A 23760-nucleotide genomic window follows, 5' to 3' on the forward strand; every position below is an offset into this window, starting at 1 on the left:
AGGTGCAGCAAACCACCATGGCACATGTATACCTATGTAACAAGCCTGCACATTCTGCACATGTATCCCAAAACTGAAAGTAAAACAAACAAAAACAAAACAAAACAAAACAATCCCAGAAAAGTCTTTTAAGTAGTGTGAGGCTGTTAAGCTAGTTTTTTTTTATTTTTTATTTTTCAAGAGACAGGGTCTTGCTGTGTTGCCCAGGCTGTACTCAAACTCCTGGGCTCAAGCGATCCTCTTGCCTTAGCCTAAGCTGATTTTTTTTTTTGCTTGAAGCTAAAATTTTATCATTGGCAACAAATACTGTCAGTTGTTTTCTTCGAATTGACTGTGTTAGCTTGTTCCATTGAGAGAAAATGTCTTCCAAATACCCAAGTCCTTACAACTATAGTTTGTCAGTTAGTTGTTCTTTAAAGTAAAAATGGTACTCTGTGAAGAAAATGGTTAATTTAACTTGCCACTCAAACAATTGCACAAGTGCATTTTCTTCTGAAAACTATTATACTTTGGTGTGCAGCAGAAATACTTTGTGTATTTCCTACTTTGTCACATAGAATGTTAAAAAGATGTGTGCTCAAAAGGTTGGAGATAATTTTTACTGTTTCATTAAAGACAGTCTTAGCACGTGCACACACACACACACACACACACACACACACACACACACTTTTTAACTGAGCATATATGGTTGTACAGTGACTACCAGTATACTTTGGTGCTGCTGTTTCATTTGTGTTAAGACACCAGCAATCTTACCCACCATTGCTTTTGCATCATCACATTAGCACAGTGAAAAAAGCAAATAATGTCTCAGTATTATTAGGAAAATTGCTCTGACCTTATGAACTCTCTGAAAGGGTCTTGGGGGACTTCTGGGGTCCATGGACCACACTTTGGGAATAGCTGGAATAGAGCAAGCCCTGTATAAGCCCAGCAATTTGTTGTTCAATGTTACTTTTTCATCTTATGTATGCATTTAATGTAGAAAATAATATGTTAGTAGTATTCAAGAATTTGGACATTTGTTAAAGTCTCAGAATATATTCCTTGGAGATAGCAAGAGTATGCTGGAGCAAACATTTTTTAAATAACTTCATTGAAACATGTTTTATAATGCATATTCTTAAGACTCTTCTTCCTAAAAGGAATAAAGAATTAGTTGAGATTTCCATAAGGGATACCTTTATATCAGTTGCTAAGTTCAGGGTACTGATCCTGTATAAGAATAGCTTCCAATTCAGATCTATAAACAACAAAATAGTTTAGTGAAAACACACACACAGGATTTGGAGTGGCAGAGAACTAGTAGTTCTAGAGCCAGACAGACCTGGTTTGAACCCTGACTCCACTGTTGTAACCTTGGGCAAGTTGGTGTGACCACACTGTCATTTCTTAGCACTCTTTACTGCCGCTTTATATGTTCTTGAGGTCTTTCATTAGTACTAGAATAATGATACAATGATAGTGATGCATGTAATCATGACAATTGGAAACTTGCTATTTCCTCCATTAGCTAAAATTTGAAAGCCATAATTGATAAACTTTGCTTAAGTTGTACATTTTTTTGAGATAAGGTCTCACTCTGTCACCTACCTTAGAGTACAATAGTGTGATCATAGCTCACTGCAGCCTTGAACTCCTGGGCTCAAGGGATCTTCCTGCCTTAGCCTCCCAAGTGGCTGGGACTGAAGGCATATGCCACCACGCCTGGCTAATTTTTTATATTTTTTTGTAGAGACAAGATCTCGCTTTGTTGCCCAAGCTGGTCTCGAACTCCTGGGCTTCAGTTATCCTCGTGCCTTGGCCTCCCAAAGTGCTAGGATTACAGGCATGAGCCACCGCATCTGGCCAAGTTTTACTTTTATTTTGTGAAAATAGTACCTGGTAGCCTCTGAATAATATATATTTCTTGTTGTGTTTTAAAATTTGCTTATTTGTGTTCATATATTCACTCTTGATAATTTAATAATTATTAAAACACTCTGTGCCTGGTACTTGTTTCATGCTTTACCTGCATTATTTCATTTAAGATCAATATGTGAAGTGGGCACTTCTCTTACATTTAATTCACAGACGAGAAAACAGAGGATACAGGGAGATTGAGTAACTTGTCCTATATGATATGGTTTATAAGTGGCAGAACTGAGATGTAAACTCTTTTCTATTAGGTTCTTTTTTGCTACAACTAACACCAGAAAAGTAGCTTAAACTTAGGATGTATATAGGTTATATGCCAGTACTAAGCCATATTATTTTATTTTGATTTTTTTAAAGAGATGAGGTCTTGCTGTATTGTCCAGGTTGGTCTTGAATTCCTATGCTTAAGTGATCCTCTCACTTTGGTCTCCCAAGTAGCTGGAATTATGTGCATGTGCCACTGTGCCTAGCTACTAATCATTTTATACAAGGGTCTTTCTTTTTTTCTTTTTTTTTTTTTTTGAGACGGAGTCTTGCTCTGTCACCCAGGCTGGAGTGCAGTGGCGTGATCTCGGCCCACTGCAAGCTCCGCCTCCCAGGTTCACGCCATTCTCCTGCCTCAGCCTCCCGAGTAGCTGGGACTACAGGTGCCTGCCACCACGCCCAGCTCATTTTTTGTATTTTTAGTAGAGATGGGGTTTCACCGTGTTAGCCAGGATGGTCTCGATCTCATGACCTCGTGATCTGCCCACCTCGGCCTCCCAAAGTGTTGGGATTACAGGCGTGAGCCACCATGCCCAGCCTGTACAAGGGTCTTGAGCATCATCTGTGGATTTTGGTATCCATGGGGGATCCTGGAATCAAGCCCCCACAGATACTAAGGGACTGTAACCACCATTAGTAGGGCTGTGAAGAGAGAGTATGTGTGTAAGGTCACTATTCCTGAGCATATGCCAGTAAGGGAGACAGCTTAAACAAATTAAGGGCTCTGCCAACAGAAAGAAGGGAGGTGGGTAGGAATGATTATTTACATAGGTAACAAAGAGTGTCTGCACCTTTGTGTCTTTTAACTACTACTATACTGTACTCCCTCCCTAATTTAAGAAGATATTTTAAAATAGCATAAATGAGGGAGAAATATAAATGGTAATAAATTTCAGGATAGAAGAAATCCTATGGAGATTTGACAGTTACAGTGGTTAGGTAGTCTAAGTTCTGATGCAGATGGATAAGTAATACAGATCATGTTAAAAAGCAACTTTGGGTTGAATTAATATAACTGTGTCCTCCGTGGACTGTTGAGTAACCACTTGCTTTACTTAACCCTAATTGGCTTCATATTAAATAATTTGGTTTAGCTGTGTAGTTTCAGGGCTATGGGAAGAAACTGAGGAGATTCGGGGAAAAAAAAATGAAATATGCATTAAGGAGATGAAGCATAGGCTTTCTAAGCTAATTACCAGAATTAGTGGAATTTCTCTGTATTTTGGTTGAGAGAAAGTTAGTAAGTGACCTTAATAGTTTTCAAGCTTGTAAAATTTCTAAGTCGAAATGGTTCTTGTCTCTCCCACCCCTTCAATTCCTAGAAGACGAAATTGAGATTATCATAAAATACTTTGGTTAGAGGTAAAGAACAGCTTTCTGACTGTAGAGGTTATTAAACACTGGATCTCAGGGGAAGAGGGCCAGCTGTAGGTTTTAGTCAAAAGATGAAGTGAAAAGGCAAGACCCATAAATCACAAATTATAGTTTAAGCAGTGAAATTATAGTTTAAGCCATTTTTGAAGCTGTTGGAGTTGGGACATAATTCTGAGTCTGAATATTTCCACAGTCAAGCTCCTGAAGGTCCTGCCTCCCATCCTATCCTCTCTCCCCACTTGAGTGAATCTTTGTTAGCATTTAAGACTTTTACTTCCCCCCGTAAACAGCTCTACAACAGTGTAGAATGTAAAAAATTAGAACTGCAAATATGTGTTGCCCTGACAAATACATCAACTATTTTGATTTTCTTTCATGTTGCCTTTCTCAGTATGGCTATTTAAAGTTTCTTAAGACATTTTTTTCCCACTAAGTTATTTATATTTATTATAGAAAACCAGAAATAACTTCTGTGAACATGTTGTAATATTTTTCTAAAGCTATTTCTTTATATGCATGTGTTTTAGAGTTGTGTGATTCTGTAGTTTCATAACAGCATGCATAATAACACTGAGTTATAATAGTTCCCTTATTATCTCTTTCCTATTAGACTGTGAGCCCCTTTAAGGCATATATTATTGTTTTCATCTTTATATACCTTGAAAAGTTGATGTACTTCACATAAAGATGAGGCGAGAGTTGTAGATACAATTTGTATATTTTCTTGATCTATTATTAGCATTTTCTTCCAAATTTTATTAAAATGGATGCCAATAAAAACAGATACATTATTCAACTCACTCTTTTGCCCAGGCCCTGCCGTGGTGAAGATCACGGCTCACTGGGGTGTTGCTTTGTTGCCTAGGTTGGTCTCGAACTTCTGGGCTTAAGTGATACTCCTGCCTTGGCCTCCCAAAGTCTTGGGATTACAGGTGTGAGCCACTGTGCGAGCCGCTGTAACCGGCCTAAAGATATACTTTATTTTTTAAAGCAGTTTTAGGCCCACAGCAAAACTGAGCAGAAAGTACAGACAGTTCCTGCATACCCCTGCCCTTACACAACGTGCACAGCCTTCCCCACTATCGACATTCATACATCAGGGTAGTAAATTTGTTACAGCTGATGAACCTACTTGACACATCATTTCTTCACCTTAAGTCTGTAGTTTATATTAGATTTCACTATTGATGTTATACATTCTATGGGTTTTGACAAATGTATAGTGACGTGTGTCCACCATTATTAGTATCATATGGAATGGTTTCACTGCTCTAAAAATCCTGTCTTCAGCCTATTCCTCCCTCCCTGGACCCTAGTTTGTCTTGCCTCAATACTTTTGCCTTTTCCAGAATGTGATACAGTTGAGTCACAGAATATACAGCCCTTTCAGATTGGCTTTTTTTTTTTTTTTTGAGATGGAGTCTCACTCTGTTGCCCAGGCTGGAGTGCAGTGGCGCGATCTCGGCTCACTGCAAGCTCTGCCTCCTGGGTTCACGCCATTCTCCTGCCTCAGCCTCCCAAGTAGCTGGGACTACAGGCACCCACCACCATGCCCGGCTAATTTTTTGTTTTTTTTTAGTAGAGACGGGGTTTCACCGTGTTAGCCAGGATAGTCTTGATCTCCTGACCTCGTGATCTGCCCACCTCGGCCTCCCAAAGTGCTGGGATTACAGGTGTGAGCCACCGTGCCCGGCAGATTGGCTTCTTTCACCTAGTAAAATGCATTTACTGTTCCTTTGTGTTTTCGTGGCTTTGTCACTCATTTCTTAGCATGGAATAGTATTACATTTTGTCTGGATGTACCACAGTCTGTCTGTTCATCTACTGAAGGACATTTTGGCTGCTTGCAAGGTTTGACAGTTATGAATAAAGCTGCTGTAAATATCCATGCGCAGGTTTTTGTATGAATACGTTTTCAACTCATTTGGGTAAATACCAGGGAGTGCAATTGTGGGGTCATATGGTAAGACTGTGTTTAGTTTTGTAAGAAACCATCAGACTATCTTCCAAAGTAGCTGTATTATTTTGCATCCCCACTAGCAGTGAATGAAATGACATCATAAATTTAAATTCACTTAAAATGTCCAAAACGAAATCTGTCAGCATTTTTAAAAAAATAAATTAAAACAAAAACGAAACACTTTTAAGCTCAGGAAAGTAACCTCCAGAGTACTTTCAGAATATCCCAGACAAATTGGGGCTTTGCAGATTAATATTTGCAGGTTGATCTTTGCCTGGGATCTTCCATATAAAACTAAAAAATGAAGTCTGTGGTAGCTGTTCTTGCCTAGAGTCTCTGCTAACACAGAAGTTTCGTGAAATTTTATGGTGTTAATCCCTTGTAAACTATGGATTTAGAAACTCATATTCCCAGACTAAGACTAGTCTCTTTATTTATTTCTTCAATTCCTAGTAGCCAAAGGTAATTAGATTTTACTTTTGGCAGGTGTATGCTAGCGATGTCTACTTTATTTAAGAAGATGCTCAACCTCTAAGTGGTGTGGGAGGTGTTTCTAAAGGTCACTCAAGGTTGGGGTACAGTTGTGGTGGCAACCCTTCCCTGCCTAACTTGTTGTTTGCTCTATAGGGCAATGATTCTTGACCTCTTTGGGTTATAGATTTCAATGAAGTGTTTCTAGGGAAAGGAGGAACCTGGGAGAGATCTGTCAGTGCTCTCTGCTATCCTTTTGTTTGTAGTGACAGTATCTGCAAAATATGGGGACACCTTAAGATGCCTTATAATCTTTTAGATCTATTAGGTTGGTGCAAAAATGATTGCCGTTAATAACTTCAAAATCTACCGGTTAGGGATCATTCAGTAAGCAAGTAAATATACCAACTGAGGTGGAGAAAAGTGTAGGCAGCTTGCTTTGAGAATTTTAGAGCTAAAGTACAGTGAAGGGTAATTTTAAATTTTACTTCTTTTAGAAGGTTTTATTTATAATTAAATTGCTTTTTTGGTTTTATTTGAATAAATATAAAATTATACATTCAAATAATTATTTCTTGAAATTTTCTCCTTTATTTTAAAATGCTGGTTAGTATGTGATAGTTGTAGCACATTTAAAGAAGAATACAAGTAAAAAGTGCAATTCTACTTCTCCCTATACATTGTTTAATAAGCATATGCCTTTTAAAAAATGACCTTATAATGGGCTGAGTATATTTTGGATATTGTTCTGTGGCAGCATAATACCACATAACTTAATTAACTGTCTCCTTATTGTTAAATGTTTAGATTCCCTCCTTCCTGCACCCCCTTTGAAAGCAATGCTGACATGTGTGTCCTTGTAATTGTACTTTGATATATTGGCAAGTATTTTCCTGGGACAGAATTTTGCAGATGGATCACTGGATTATTGTGTACATTTACTTTAAAATTTGCTTAAAGTCGGGGCGCGGTGGCTCACACCTGTAATCCCAGCACTTTGGGAGGCCAAGGTGGGCGGATCACCTAAGGTCGGGAGTTCGCGACCAGCCTGACCAACATGGAGAAACCCCGTCTTTACTAAAAATACAAAATTAGCCAGGAGTGGTGGTGCATGCCTGTATTCCCAGCTACTTGGGAAGGGTGAGGCAGGAGAATCGCTTGAACCCGGGAGGCGGAGGTTGCGGTGAGCCGAGATTGCGCCATTGCACTCCAGCCTGGGCAACAAGAGCGAAATTCCATCTCAAAAAAAAAAAAAAAAAATTTCTTAAAAATTTTCTTTTAATTCTAAGAGAGTTTTATGTTGACTTCTAGTGCTTTTTGGGCGCTGATGCTCACACTTATTTTGATAAAGATGAAAGATGTTTACCAAATAGAATATTGGACATAGAAACTCCCAAGGAAATTCTCTACGTAGCTGAATTTCAGGCAGATGGTGAAGATGCAAGGATAATCTCACAAAGTTATAGCTAACAATCACTAATTCTGGGTGATTTGGCAATGTTTTGGCAAGCAGTTATTTTAAACTGCTTTCTAGTAAGAAATAATTAAAGTCAATGCTTTGATTTAAAAAGAATGCATATGGTTAAAATTTAAAGAGTTCAGAATGCTATCTGTCTACTATATAGATCCCTGCTCCCCTTCTACACCAACCTGTAGAAAAACTAGTCAGCTCAGTTATTCAGAGGCTGATTTCCCAGTTTGTTATTATCTGTGTACTTTTATTCTCCACATTTGACCTGTTACTACTCAGTTCTACATCTGCTAGTATGGACATGTAAAGGAAAGGGAGAGAATGTGATCAGATCTAGTAAATGATGGGTTAATTGAAGAAGTTGTTTAAAGTTAGGAGTCATAAAAACATAACATACATACACTTTAAACATTTTATTTTAACTTGAAATCGAGGTATACATTTATTTACCAAGATTTTGATGTTGGGCCAAGGCCTTCTGGCATTCTATATCTTGGTCTTTCTTTCATCCATTTCCCCTATAATGCTTCATTGTAGATTTTTCAATGTACTTAAAACTTTAAATCCTTAAATGTGGTACAAGACTGTACATTATGTGGCTCTTTGCCAGTTTCTTCGAAATCTACTTATCCTTAGGTTTTCTGTGATAAGTTTCACTGACTTTTCAGTTTCCGAAACTTGCCTCAGCGCCTTTCCACATATTGTTCCCATAACCTGGAATGATAATTTCTTTAAATCCTTGGCTGGCCCAGATCTTTTGAGGTCTCTTCTCAAATGTTCTGTCCTCAGAGAGGCTTCGTAAATATTAGATAATATTCCAGTATAAAGTAGGATAACCCCAACCTCCCCACAAGCCCACTAATATCACCCTTTTCTCTTCCTTCACTCTACCTGCCAAATGTGGCAGGTAGAGTGAAGGAAGTGAACAGGGTAATTTTCTTTTTACAAGACTGAAGCCTCTGTGAAGGCAAGGGCCATCCATATATATTGGGTTTACCATAGTGTAATAGCCTTTGGTTAGAGCAGTGTCTGCTATGTAATAAGAAGCTTAAATATTTGTAGACTTAATCAAATGTTTATTATTTATATATAAAGTGTCAGGCACTGTGGGGGGCATTACTTAGTAAAATGCCACTTAGTCATCTCATTGATAGCCTATAGTACATTTTAAAATGGAAGTGTGTACATCCAAGTATGCATTTAATGAAATATGGGACATTTAAAAAAGTTTTCAGATGCTAATACTGAAGAGAATAATGCAAATTTACTAAAATAATTAGGACCCTTTTTAAAACATGGGGGCAATGTTGCTTATCTTTTTAAAAATAGTCATTTATTTTTCGTTCACTATCTTAAGAATTCTGATCATCTTGTAGGAAACTTAGAAACACTAGGAAGGTCATAGGCACTATTATTAATAATTATAGAATTGTTTTCCTCTAAATTAGAGTTTTCTTTGTGACCCTACATAACGTAATGATATTTGCTCTCTGGAGAGCCAAATGGGCCTGAAGTATAGAAACAGAACTGAAATATAGATAATTAAAACTAAACTAATATACTATAATTCTGATTGTTATGTCTTAAGATTTGTTGGCCTTAATAAGGTGTGCTGGGATAAACAAAAAGGAAGGCATCATTTGTAAAGGTTTTCTTCTTTAATCCCACTTTTGTTTTTGCATGACCAGAAATTCTCTGATATAGCAGGGTATACTTTATATAAAGACTATGGGCAGTAAGTGTTTAGTGTTTGTCTTTATATTAGGTCTATAGAGTGTGGTTTCTTGATTATGGGTGAGGAAATTAGCCTTTCAAATTCCATTAGCTGTAAAGTGGATTTGGATTTGGTATTTGTATTGGTTGGCTAATTTAATTCAAATCTTTTAAAATTCTCGTGCTGAAATGATCTTAGGAAGATCAAAATTTCTCTAACAGAAATTATTTTGGTCTTTGAAGTGTATAAATTTAACCTGTTCATAAAATAAGTATTATCAGCTGGTATGTTTCTTATACTTTTCTGGGAATACAAAAATGAATAAAGCATGGTGGTTGTCTTAGAGGAAATAATTGTAATTGATGAGATACATATAAATAATGTGATACGATAAATGCTAGAGTAGGAATATAAATTATGTCAAGTGTTGTATAAGCACTGTAGAGGGAGTGATTGATTCTTTGGGAGAGTTGGAGAAAGTTTTATGGATTTGTTAATCCAGACATATCTAATTATTAGGGTTTTTAACACTTTTGTGTCTTCTCTTTTTCCTGTTTAGCTTGGTACTTTGCCGTTAGAACTCTTGAGTGACCAGGTGCATTGTAAATGAGCAATAATATTTTGAAAGAAATCTTTTTTCCTGAGCAGTGGGTCTCAACAATGGTTTTAAAATACTCAGTAAACAGTGCTCTAAGCAGATGTGCTGTCATTTAGGCTTTGTTGTTCCATTTATACAGCACAGGCAGAGTAGATTTTGCATAATTTTTAAGGGCCGTATGATTTTTGGAATGGGATATGAACATTGGCTACAACTTAAAGTCACCAGTTGTGTTAGCCTCTAACGAGAGTCAGCATGTCCTTTGAAGCTTTGAAGCCAGTCATTGACTTCTCTCTAGCTATGAAAGTCTTAGATAGCATTTATTTATTTATTTGTTTATGATGGAGTCTTGCTCTGTTGCCCAGGCTGGAGAGCAGTGGTGTGATCTTGGGTCACTGCAAGCTCCGCCTCCTGGGTTCACGCCATTCTCCTGCCTCAGCCTCCCGAGTAGCTGGGACTACAGGCGCCTGCCACCACACCTGGCTAATTTTTTGTGTTTTTGGTAGAGACGGGGTTTCACTGTGTTAGCCAGGATGGTCTCAACCTCCTGACTTTGTGATCCACCCACCTCTGCCTCCCAAAGCACTAGGATTACAGGCGTGAGCCACGACGCCCGGCAGATAGCATTTCTTTCAGTAGAAGATTGTTTGTTTACATTGAAAATCTGTGGTTTAATGAAGCCACATTTATCAATTATCTTAGCCAGATCTTCTGGATAACTTACTGCAGCTTCTGTTACTGTATTAGTACTTACTGCTTCACTTTATACTTACATGTCATGGAGATGGCTTTTCTTTAAACCTCGCTTATCGTTTGAATATTTCTCCCCTCCAAAACTTCTGTTGATACTTAATTTCCATTGTGGCAATATTGAGAAGTGTGGTTTTTCAGAGGTGATTGGGTCATGAGGGCTCTGCCCTCATGAATTCATTCATGGATTAATGTGTTAGTGGATTATCATGGGAGTGAGACTGACTCATTGCTTTTTAAGAAGAGAAAGGGGCTGGATGCAGTAGCTCATGCCTGTAATCCTTGTACTTTGGGAGGCCAAGGCAGGAGGATTGCTTGATCCCAGGAGTTTGAGACCAGTCTGGGCAACATAGTGAGACTCTGTCTCTACAAAAACTAAAAAAATAACTAGCTGGATGTGGTTGTGTGTGCCTGTAGTGCCACCTGTAGTCCCAGGCTGGGTGACAGAATGAGACTCTGTCTCCAAACAAAAAGAAAAAAGGAAGAGAGACCTGAGCTAGCATATTCAGCCTCTTTGCCATGTGATTCCCTGTTCTGCCGTTCTGCTCAGTACTCTGCAGAGAGTCCCCACCTGAAAGAAGGCCCTTGGCTGGGTGCAGTGGCTAACGCCTGTAATCCCAGCACTTTGGGAGGCCGAGGCGGGTGGATCATGAGGTCAGGGGATGAAGACCATCCTGGCCAACATGGTGAAACCCCGTCTCTACTAAAAATACAAAAATTAGCTGGGCATGGTGGCGTGCACCTGTAGTCCCAGCTACTTGGGAGGCTGAGCCAGGAGAATCACTTGAACGCGGGAGGCAGAGGTTGCGGTGAGCCAAGATCACACCACTGCACTCCACCCTGGTGACAGAGCGAGACTCCGTTGCAAAAAAAAAAAAAAAAAAGAAAGAAAGAAAGAAAGAAGGCTCTCACCAGATGCTGCCCATTTACCTTGGGCTTCTCAGCATCCATAACTGTAAGAAATCATTTTTTTTTATAAATTACCAAGTTTCAGGTATTTTTTAATAAGCAATAGAAAGCAGACTAAGATAAATGACATGAATCAGCATCTGCTAGTTTCATACTTTTCTTCTGCGGCTTCCTTACCCTTTTTATCCTTGCTTAGAATTGAAGAGTTAGAGCCTAGCTCTGGATTGGGATTTGGCTTAAGACAATGGTTGGTTGGTTTGATATTCTATCCAAAGCACTAAAACTTTCTACTCAGCAGCAAAAGGCTGTTTCACTTTCTTACCATTTGTGTGTTCAGTGGACTGGCACTTTAAATTTTTTAAAAGAACTTTATCTTTGCATTCAGACTTCACTGACCGGTACAAGAGGCCCAGCTTTTGGCCTGTCTCCGCATTCAACATGTTGCCTTCCTCAGTAAGCTTAATCATTTCTAGCTTTTGCTTTAAAATGAGAGACTTGCAACTTTTCCTTTCATTTGAACACTTAGAAGCCATTGTAGCATTATTAATTGGCCTATTTTCAATATTGTTGTGTTTCAGGAATAGGGAGGCCCAAGGAGAGGGAAAGAGATGGAAGAACGGCTAGTTGGTGGAGCAGGCAGAACACACAGAGACTTTAAACTCTGAAGTTCGCTGTCTTAGATAGGTGCGGTTTGTGGCACCTGTAAACTATTGCAATAGTAATACCAAAGATCGCTGATCACAGATCACCAGAACAGATAGAATAATAATGAAAAAGCACAATAAAGTGAAGCACAATAAAATGAGGTATGCCTGTACCTTATAATAGCTTGAAAATTTCTTAAATTCTGTGTTTTATCTCAGGAATGTGTGTGAATTTTGCATTTCATTGCATACTGTTAATAAAAATATAGAAATATTTGAATTACTGCCAGAAAAAGGAAAAACAAAAATCATTTCCTGTTTGTCTGTTGATTTTTGAAAACTGGGGTGAATGAAGAGAGCTGACACTACATACCTGGTTTAGCACTTACTTTCTTTTTCTTAGTGTATCCCTGGTATGTTTCAGTTTATGCCTGAAGATGTACGTCACCAGTTTGAGAAAAAAAGATTGGCCAGTCAGATCATGAAACATTGCATTACTTTTCTCCCTCTTACGTGTAGTATAGCCTTGGGGAAAATTACTTAATTTGAGTCTGCTACCCTCATAAATTGGGCCAATAATGTGTACCCATACTTTTTTTGGGAGGGGATCATATAGTAGCTGCTAATTAAACATTTATTAGCTGCTTCCTCCTTTTCCTGCCACATTCCTGTTGCTTTCTTCTTGGCTTTAACCCAGGTCTTATAACTGCTTGGTATGCTTTAATCAGCTTGCTTACTGCCCTGATGGTTTTTATTAGCCAGTGCGTAGAGAATAATGCTAGAAGATGCTTGGGGCATAAGCTGAGACATTCCTGGAATAATAGAGACACACTGACTCAGGAACAGTCAGTGCACAGGGAAATGTTCGGATTTAGCTTATCAGAGTAAGCAAAGGTCTAGAAATACATCTACATTAATCAGTGGAAAGATGGGCCAGACTAAAAATTGGAATTAGAATGTAGGACTGAATGCATTTATACTAGAGTCTGCTTTCTGTGCAGCAGTAAAAGCAGGTGATATTGACTTAGTTTTTTTCAAAGTGGTTAGAGTATTAGACTGAATGGTCTAAAAATTTCATAGATGGAAGTAAAGGTATGTTCAAAAATAGACTTTCTCTGAAATGTTATAATTGAACTTAGAACATTTATGTTAGTGGTTTTATTCTGTAAATGATAATACTCATTCCTGTAATTCTCTTTATGTTGTCAGTGTGTTTCATTAACTATATCTGCTTGATCTCAAACCTTGATTATTTCTCTAACTGCGTAACACATGGCAGTTGGAGGTTCAAGAGAGTCTAATTGAGTCACTTATCCACCTGTCTGAGGTGTTTTTTTTTTTTTTTTTTTTGGAGATGGAGTCTGTCACTCTGTTGCCCAGCCTGGAGTGCAGTGGCATGATCTTGGCTCACTGCACCTTCACCTACCAGGTTCAAGTGATTCTTGTGCCTCAGCCTCCCAAGTAGCTGGGATTATAGGCACATGCCACCATGCCCAGCTAAATTTTGTATTTTTATTAGAGACAGGGTTTTACCATCTTGCCAGACTGGTCTCGAACTTCCAACCTCAGGTGATCCACCTGTCTCGGCCTCCCAAAGTGCTGGGATTACACACGTGAGCCACTGCACCCAGCCTCTGATTTCTTAACAGAGAAGAGAAACAATAAGCCAAACATGGATCAAAATAAAGTATTGAGCTTCATTACTGGTAAAGGTGAGTTAGAAAATGTGGTGAATATTACAGTATTGCACTCCTAGCAAAAAGTGAAAGCCCCCACATGAAAATAGGAGAACAAAGGAATAGGTTTTTTGCCAGAGTCCCTTCACATAAACACTTTGGGCAGGAAACTAGGCAGGCATGTCACCATTGGGCTTCAGATGGGCACCTGACAATGCTGTCGTTACTGTAGGAGACAGACCACCACAAAGTGAGATTGATTTGGTTGCTTCAGATCTGGACTGAATTATGTATTTTAATTAGCTATATTAAATAAAACAAATTAACTCTTTTGAACGTATTCCTTCATTTGTAAGGTGGGAATACAGTTGAGTGATGACTGCGAACATAAACATGACTAAAATGCCCAGAACTTTCTGGTTTATAGTAGTAGTTTCTGGTTTAGCAAATAGTAGTAATAAAAGGATAACTGTTATCCTTAACAGTTATTCTTAACAAATCAAACCTCGAATGTTTACATCTTTAAAAATTTTAACTGCCACATTTGTTACATTCTTAAATTGTGCTGTTAAAAGTAGACAACTTGGCTGAGCGCGGTGGCTCACGCCTGTAATCCCAGCACTTTGGAATGCCCAGGCGGGCAGATCATCTGAGGTCAGGAGTTCAAGACCACCCTTGCCAACATGACAAAACCCTGTCTCTACTAAAAATACAAAAATTAGCTGGGCATGGTGGTGCATGCCTGTAATCCCAGCTACTCGGGAGGCTGAGGCATGAGAATCGCTTGAATCTGGGAGGTGGAGGTTGCAGTGAGTCGAGATCTTGCCACTGCACTCCAGCCTGGGTGACAGAGCAAGACTCTCAGAAAAAATCCCCAAAATAGAAAACCTGTCTCCTTAAACTAATATTGTTTCTCTGACCTACTCATTTCAGGAAACAAAAGACTACAATTGCCTTTATGCTGATATGCCCTTATATTGAAGACTTGACCATATATAGGAACATTAAACAGAATGCCAGGTAGAGGTTTTGATTTTCTTGTCAAAATAAAATGTCAGAAATATTCTTCATGTGTTTTGGGGAAGGGAGTATTAATAGGGGTCAACTGTACATTAGTGAATACCTGTCATTTGAAATAGGAGCTTTTAAAATAGTATATATTTAAGGTGTAAAACATGATATTTTGATATACATATACATAGTTAAATGATTACTACAGTAATAGGAGCAATAATTTTATGTGTGCTGTTCTAAGCACTTATGGTAACTCATTTTATGTTAACAACAATCCTGTGAGATGGGAATATTTATCCTCCATCTGAAAAAAATTAAGGCACGGAGAGACCAAGTTACGTGTTCAGGGTCATTAAACTGATCCATGTAGAAGCCATGATTCAAAACCAGGCATTCTTAGTGCCCAGCATGGGGTCAACACTGACCTGCTTGGCTTTGGTACCTCTTTAATTGCATTCGTACTAAGCACTCAGTCAGTCATAACCATTCTCTTCTCCCTTGTGGTAATTAATGGTGGTGGTGGTGGAGAATCTACGGGATTAGGCTTCAGTTAATTCTTTTTTTTTTTTTTTTGGAGACGGAGTCTTGCCCTGTCGCCCAGGCTGGAGGGCAATAGCATGATCTCAGGTCACTGAAACCTCTGCCTCCTGGGTTCAAGCGATTCTCCTGCCCCAGCCTCCTAAGTAGCTGGGATTACAGGTGTGCACCACCACGCCCAGCTAATTTTTTGTATCTTTAGTAGAGATGGGGTTTCACCATGTTGGCCATGCTGGTCTCAAACTCCTGACCTCGTGATCTGCTCACCTCAGCCTCCCAAAGTGCTGGGATTATAGGCATGAGCCACCGTGCCCGGCCGGCTTCAGTTAATTCTAAAGCCTGGGACTGTCAGTAGGATTTTAAATCTTAGAGACCAGTTCTGAGAAAGTGACCTGTTGGCTCTGCATTGCCCCCAGGAAAAGTGCTAAGATTGTTATCAGTTACCTGACATCTGGTGGGCCGGCACGCCTTAGCCACAGTCTCTTGAATAGTCAGGAATGTCTAAAAAGTTATAAGAAGAAAAAGCAACAGGAAGAGACAGACAACAGATAGGTGGTTGCCAGGAGTGGGGGAAGGAGAGAATGGGTAGTGACTGCTGGTGGGCACAGGGTTTGCTTTGAAATTAGATTGACACAAATTATTATTTTCCAGTTTATAAAATCAGGTTTTTCAGGAGGTCTTTACATTGAATCACAAGTGATTTCACCCTAATATGGTGTGAATTGATTTTATTGTTCACTCTTAGTTCTTTATAAACTAATTTCCCCCTCCTTGAGTGTTTGTTTTAAAATTTTGGCTCTTTCTTGATAACCTGGAATATATATATTTGGATAATTATTTTCAGGAAGAGTATATTATATGAGTGATCTCTTTTCTGAGTTCTTGTTCAGTTGAGAAGGACTTGATTATGTACATGTGCAGATATGGGATTCTCAGATTTTGATCTTTATGTTTCTCCCTGGGAAAGTTTAAGGGTTGATCCATTATAATCTGGCTTTTAGTTTTCCAGAGGAAAGGGCTAAGTCTGAGATTAACTTGATTCCTCTTGGCCCTTCCGAATATCCATTTCTCCTTTTTTCCTCTTTGTAGATAATCTTTTTTGATTTCTTGTTTTTCTGTAGGATTGAAAAATGTTTTTATTAGGCTGTATTTAGATATTGGCATGTTTTAATTAATTTTTCCCTATATACTCAAAATCTGTACATGTTCCGATTCAGATTTTTCTTCAGTTTAGAAAAATTTCCTTCTCGTATTTTTTTGAGAGTGTAATATGTTTAAGACCACAGACTGAGGAGCCAGATTGTTTGGTTTCCAATTCCTGTTATGATACTAGTAACTTTGGGTAGGGTTCTTAATCAATTCTTTCTTTCTTTCTTTCTTTCTTTCTTTCTTTCTTTCTTTCTTCCTTCCTTCCTTCCTTCCTTCCTTCCTTCCTTCCTTTCCTTTCCTTTCCTTTCCTTCTTTCCTTCTTTCCTTCTTTCCTTCTTTCCTTCTTTCTTTTCTTTCTTTTCTTTCTTTTCTTTCTTTCTTTCTTTCTCTCTTTCTCTCTTTCTCTCTTTCCTTTCTTTCTTTTCTTTCTTTCTTTCTTTCTTTCTATCCTTCTTTCTTTCTATCCTTCTTCTTCTTTTTTTTTTTTTTGAGACAGAGTCTTGCTCTATCGTCCAGGCTGGAGTGCAGTGGCGTGATCTCAGCTCACTGCAACTTCCACCTCCTGGGTTCAAGTGATTCTCCTGCCTCAGCCTCCTGAGTAGCTGGGATTACAGGCATGCACCACCATGCCTGGCTAATTTTTTGTATTTTTAGCAGAGACAGGGTTTCACCGTTTTAGCCAGGATGGTCTGGGTCTCCTGACCTCGTGATCCGCCCACCTTGGCCTCCCAGCATGAGCCACCACGCCTGGGCTGTAGTTCTTTTTATTTTCTTCTTGTGGAATTATTTTATTTAGATTGCCTCTTTTGGATATGATCTCCATATTTTTCTTTCCTCAGCATTTGTACTTCTTTCTTTCTTTCTTTTTTTTTTTTTTGAGACTGAGTCTTGCTCTGTCGCCCAGGCTGGAGTGCAGTGGCACGATCTTGGCTCACTGCAAGCTCTGCCTCCTGGGTTCACGCCATTCTCCTGCCTCAGCCTTCCGAGCAGCTGGGACTACAGGTGCCCGCCACCACGCCTGGCTAATTTTTTGTATTTTTTGGTAGAGACGGGGTTTCGCTGTGTTAGCCAGGATAGTCTCGATCTCCTGACCTTGTGATCCACCCGCCTCGGCCTCCCGAAGTGCTGGGATTACAGGCGTGAGCAGCATTTATATTTCTTAATCCTTTTATTCTTTCTGGGAAAATTTTTTGAGTTTTTAATCTTTTTTCTTTTTTTTTTTTTTCTCTTTACTGAAGTTCTAATCTGGCCAGTTCTGCTGTTGTTTTCATATTATTTTTTCTCTGCAATTTCTCCAAATCTTAGATTGTTTCCTCATCATAACTTCCTGCTCTAGTTTCTTGTTTGTAATCTTCTCTTGGATTGTCCTGAGAACATCAATTAGAAATTTTATAAACATGTTTTCCTGTATCTTATAGTAAATCTGTTTCTGAAGAAATTGTGCATTCATTGTTTAGGCTAGTATCCATAATTTGAATTATGGTATTTTTTTGGACATCAACTTTGTCTTCTGCTCATTTTTATAAGTGGGAGGTCTCTGCCAGCTTAGTATTAGTCTTAGCATAAGGTGGAATTTGAGATGTTTTATAACAAAGGTAGATATAGATCATATTAAATTTTTGATTTAAGAAAAATGAAAGGTGGCAATATTTCTTGAAGCCCCAGGAATGACTGATCTGGGATTCATATTATCATAAAAGAGAACAATAAGTGATAAACATTAATATTTATTTAGCTTTTTAAAATGTGCCAGGCACTGTGCCCAGTGCTTTACATATGAATTATATCCTTTTCTCTTTCTCAGCAACTTTATGGTAGATACTGTTTTTCCTGTAAACTTAATGAAGTTGAAGTTTAGAGATTTACTCACCTAAGGTCATAAGGCTCATAAATAGTAGAGCCAGGATTAAACCCAAGTGTCTGACTCCAGCAGTTGAGTGTCAAATAGTTAGGTTTTAATGGCCTCTTGTCAATATCCCAAAGGGCTTGAACTCTTATAAGTAGGTTTGGTTCCAGACTGATACACTGCCCGATCTTAATCATGATGGTCAGTAGAAGATGTGTTTAGATCCCTCTTGGTGAAAGGAGCCCCTGAGTTTCCACGTAATACACTTGGAAAACCATAGAATTTGTTTCCTTAATTTTGCTCATTCACAACCCCTCTGTCACACTGCTTGATTCTCTGTTTCTTAAGCGTAGCACAATACGTCTGATCTCTTGTTTTTAAAATATCTGTTATGCCTGGACAACATGGTGAAACCCTGTCTGTACTAAAAATACAAAAATTAGCCGGGCATTGGTTGCGGGCGCATGTAATCTCAGCCACTCGGGTGGCTGAGGCAGGAGAATCACTTGAACTCAAGAGGCGGAGGTTGCAGGGAGCTGAGATTGCACCATTGCACTCCAGCCTGGGTAACGAGAGCGAAACTCCGTCTAAAAAAAAAAAATCTGTTATGGTGTGTGTTATGTAGATATTCTTAGAGTTCTGGGCATGTAGCTGACACCTTTTCATGAAGTGCAGAAAAACCCATTTTATATGAATGTGTTTTCAGAATCAGCCATAGTTCCTGTTACAGAAGATGGACCCAATAATTATTGGTTGTGTGAATGTTGTATGAATTAAATTAGATAAGGAGATTACATAGCATACTCCTCTAAAATGCGCATATTTAAAGTAGTTGGGTATATGTATCATGATCAACTGGAAACCTTTTTTGAAATACAGATGCTTATTATGACTTAGAAACACTGTTCTAATTATAGTCTAATATATAGTGATTATTATAGTCTAATAATCACTGACTATAAAAGTGATTGAATAGTTCTTGGTAAATAATTGTTACTTTTCTTGATTTTTAAATATTCATGCTGTAATGATAAAAATGTCCAAATCCATAGTGTATATGGTTTAGATCTTGTTTATAATATACAGAGAAAGGCCTTCAGGAGTTTCTTGAAGTAATAAATACATTATTGTTGAGTTCATTTTGGAGTTATTTACTGTACTAAACCAGCCTCACAATGACTTTGCAGATTTGTGATATTACTCTTGGCTTTTAGAGAGAGAAGGACACACAGTAAATAATCCCTAAATTCAAGGAATTGACTTAATGAGAATAGTTGAATTTTTAAGCTCTTTGGATTCTGAGTTAGTATTTAGATTTATTTGATTTAAGATGATTGTTGAAGTTACATGAAAATAAGTCTTTCCAAAATGAAAATCTTTTTAGTAATCAAATGAGGATTTTCTGATAGCAACAGGGTGCATTGGAAATGAGATTTTCTGATCAGCAGCAGCATGCATTGCACTGTATTGGGGAATTGAGGTAAAGTAATATTTAAAAGTTCATATTATTGGCCGGGCACCTTGGTCATCAAGAGTGAGTGAGTCCAACAACTAGCAGGTGTCTTGGCTTGTGAGGCGCCCCCTCCAGCATTAATGGGAAAAGAGATGAGGGCCAGGGCCGGGCATGGTGGCTCACGCCTATAATCCCAGTACTTTAGGAGGCTGAGGCGGGTGGATCACCTGAGGTTGGGAGTTCGAGACCAGCCTCACCAACATGGAGAAACCCCATCTGTACTAAAAATACAAAATTAGCCGGGCGTGGTGGCGCATGCCTGTAATCCCAGCTACTCGGGAGGCTGAGGCAGTAGAGTCGCTTGAACCTGGGAGGCGGAGGTTGCAGTGAGCCAAGATTGCGCCATTGCACTCCAGCCTGGGCAACAAGAGCAAAACTCCATCTCGACAAAAGAAAAAGTTCTTATTACTGAGGAAAATTAAAAAATTCAGTGCCTTCAATATAAACACTTAAAGTTATGGGATATGAAAATTATGGACATATCAGACCTGAATTTTATGTTATTTTACTCACTCGACCAGTAAGATCTTGAGTCATATATTTTAGTGGAGGCAATTTTATTCATGTATTGTTTTTTTTCTTTTTTAAGACAGGGTCTCGCTCTACTGCCCAGGCTGAAGTGCAGTGGTGTGGTCTTGGCTCACTGCAACCTCTGCCTGCCGGATTCAAGCAATTCTCCTGCCTGAGCCTCCTGAGCAGCTAGGATTACAGGCGTATACTACCACACTCAGCCAATTTCTGTATTTTTAGTAGAGATGGGGTTTCACTATTTTGACCAGGCTGGTCTCGAACTCCTGACCGCAAGTGATCCGCCCATTTTGGCTTCCCAAAGTGCTGGGATTACAGATGTGAGCCACCATGCCCGGCCCATACATTGTTTTTCAATTCTAAAACATTCTGTTTTAAAAGATCAGTTGTTTTGTTCATTATTTCCTTAATAGTGGATTCCTTCATGATTGTGAGAGCCAATTCAATATCTCTAACGGTCTTTTGAAAATCTTAAATAGGGCAAATTTTATTCTGGGTTTCCATGAGTCAAAAATCAGTGTTGATGGTTCTTGTCTCCCCTCCCTCATAATGTGGTTTGGCAAAATGCTTCAGGGAAATAACAGTGAGGGTGATTGAGGGAAAACTGAAAAATCCATGAAGGAAGTAATAGCTATTCTTAGAATTATTGGCTCTAAAAAATACTTTCTTAGGTTCTCTCTAGTCATGATTACTCATAGGAAACAAATATGAGGTTTATAGATTTAAATCCAGGTATTTCTTTAAAGAGAAAATAAATGTTAAAGAAGTCATATTCATTGTTTTCATTAAGATTTGAGATTTTCGTAACAAGTTAGAGTAAGAGGGAAGTAAAAATCAAATAAGCTAAAATAGGTACCTGAGATGTCTTTTTCTTCCATGTTAGACAGATAATGTACCAATGCTGTAGCAAGGTTTGAGGGAGGCACATCTCATATGTGTGTGAAAACCCAGTTATCATGCTTATGAACTACAAAAGGATCTATATGAGTTCTTGTGTAGGTGTTAGCTAACAATCTGGTGTTCCTAAAATGTGAAACACATATATCTTACTCTTTGGCAAATTAACAAAGTAAGCTGGCATAACAGCTTCTATTCTTGACAGGAAAATTCTATACCTTTTTGTACTTGATTAGTCCATTAGGTTATTATCTACAGTTACCTGAATATGAGTAAAAATTAAAAAGAAATCTGTATATGAGGTAGAGGGATGGCTCCTAGAAAACATGTATATACAGATGTTTTTGCCATAAACCTATAGAATAATCATATTTTACTAGAGTAGATTTAATCAGTTGGGGAGATTGTTGAAACTGCTTCCAGAGGTGGCACAAGTTATATTTTGAAGGTTACAAATTGTGTTATATTTAGTTTATGCCACTTTGATACTTCTAAGGTTTAAATTTTCTGTGCTTTTTTGTTTACTTGACATTTCTGGGATTGAGATCATGTTTGTTTCCTGCTATATTTGTTTTCTAGTCACGTTGAACCTTGTTTTTCTAATAATTATGCTGCAATATTATTTGATACATACAATTTTAGCTATGTTCTCTTGTCCCTGCTGGTATTTTGCATTTATATAAATAACCTTTATAGGATAAAGTACAGTGTCTTTTGTTTTGAAAAAAGATGAAAAACTTTTTCAATGTGTCCCCGTTTGGTTTCAGTTATCCACATCTGAAGTCACTGTGGCTTTGCCTGTTTAAACAAGTTTCTTTTCTTGTCCCTTCAGTAGCAACCACCAGGGCCGTCGTTTTACATGTCACTTTTCTTTCATTCAGAAAGAGGTGCTCACTTTGGTCGTTAATTTTTGTTTTAGTCTGCTCCTATCATTATGGTAGTTTATAGAAACTATTTTTTAATTTTAGTTTTAATTTTTCTTTTTTTGCAGAGACAAGAGTCTCCCTCTGTTGCTCAGGCTGGTCTTGAACTCTTGGCCTCAAGCAGTAATCCGTCGCAGGCTCCCAAAGTGTTGAAATTACAGGTGTGAGCCACCACACCCAGTGTAGAAATTTTTTTTTTTTTTTTTTGAGATGGAGTCTTACTCAAGTGATTCTCCTGCCTCAGCCTCCCGAGTAGCTGGGATTACAGGCACCCACCACCACACCCGGCTAATTTTTGTTTGTTTTAGTAGAGATGGAGTTTCACCATGTTGGTTAGTCTAGTCTCGAACTCCTGAGCTCAGGTGATCCGCCCACCTTGGCCTCCCAAGGGGCTGGGATTACAGGTGCCACCGCACCCGGCCTAGAAACTATTCTTTAGCTGTGATATGTACTTTATTCTATCATCATTTATTTTATGTAGATGCTACACAGTGTGCTAGAGTCTAAAGGGAATGTGTGCTTGTATTTTTCTTTTTTTTGTTAAACTACCTCTCATGCTATTATTGCTTGGCTTTTTTTTTTCTTTTTTTTAATTATACTTTAAGTTTTAGGGTACATGTGCACAACGTGCAGGTTTGTTACATATGTATACATGTGCCATGTTGGTGTGCTGCACCCATTAACTCGTCATTTAGCATTAGGTATATCTCCTAATGCTATCCCTCCCCCCTCCCCCCACCCCACAACAGTCCCCGGTGTGTAATGTTCCCCTTCCTGTGTCCATGTGTTCTCATTGTTCAATTCCCACCTACGAGTGAGAACATGCGGTGTTTGATTCTTTGTCCTTGCGACAGTTTGCTGAGAATGATGGTTTCCAGCTTCATCCATGTCCCTACAAAGGACATGAACTCATCATTTTTTATGGCTGCTAGTATTCCATGGTGTATATGTGCCACATTTTCTTAACCCAGTCTATCATTGTTGGACATTTGGGTTGGTTCCAAGTCTTTGCTATTGTGAATAGTGCCACAATAAACATACGTGTGCATGTGTCTTTATAGCAGCATGATTTATAATCCTTTGGGTATATACCCAGTAATGGGATGGCTGGGTCAAATGGTATTTCTAGTTCTAGATCCCTGAGGAATCGCTACACTGACTTCCACAATGGTTGAACTAGTTTACAGTCCCACCAACAGTGTAAAAGTGTTCCTATTTCTCCACATCCTCTCCAGCACCTGTTGTTTCCTGACTTTTTAATGATTCCCATTCTAACTGGTGTGAGATGGTATCTCATTGTGGTTTTGATTTGCATTTCTCTGATGGCCAGTGATGGTGAGCATTTTTTAATGTGGTTTTTGGCTGCATAAATGCCTTCTTTTGAGAAGTGTCTGTTCATATCCTTCGCCTACTTTTTGATGGGGTTGTTTGTTTTTTTCTTGTAAATTTGTTTGAGTTCATTGTAGATTCTGGATATTAGCCCTTTGTCAGATGAGTAGGTTGCAAAAATTTTCTCCCATTTTGTAGGTTGCCTGTTCACTCTGATGGTAGTTTCTTTTGCTGTGCAGTAGCTCTTTAGTTTAATTAGATCCCATTTGTCAA

General features: G+C 38.5%; 1 protein-coding gene and 1 non-coding gene across 13 annotated transcripts in view; one reads left to right on the forward strand and one right to left on the reverse strand.

The window, feature by feature from the left end:
* The window catches only part of RABGAP1L (RAB GTPase activating protein 1 like), an 835789-nt gene that overhangs the window by 19394 nt on the left and 792635 nt on the right, over positions 1 to 23760 (forward strand). For 3 of the 12 annotated variants that reach the window (XM_011510223.3, XM_047436028.1, XM_047436050.1), the window contains exon 2: positions 14685 to 14771. The exons of the other annotated variants lie outside the window; for them this stretch is intronic. The gene's annotated coding sequence lies outside the window, so the exon portion shown is untranslated. The remainder of the gene's footprint in view (positions 1 to 14684; positions 14772 to 23760) is intronic. 12 annotated transcript variants of the gene reach the window in all.
* Positions 21216 to 21317, reverse strand: LOC124904825 (small nucleolar RNA U13). Its single transcript, XR_007067421.1, has one exon. It is a non-coding gene; the product is annotated as a small nucleolar RNA U13 (small nucleolar RNA).

The sequence above is a fragment of the Homo sapiens genome, chromosome 1 (genome assembly GCF_000001405.40).
Source record: "Homo sapiens chromosome 1, GRCh38.p14 Primary Assembly".
Classification (NCBI taxonomy): domain Eukaryota; kingdom Metazoa; phylum Chordata; class Mammalia; order Primates; family Hominidae; genus Homo; species Homo sapiens.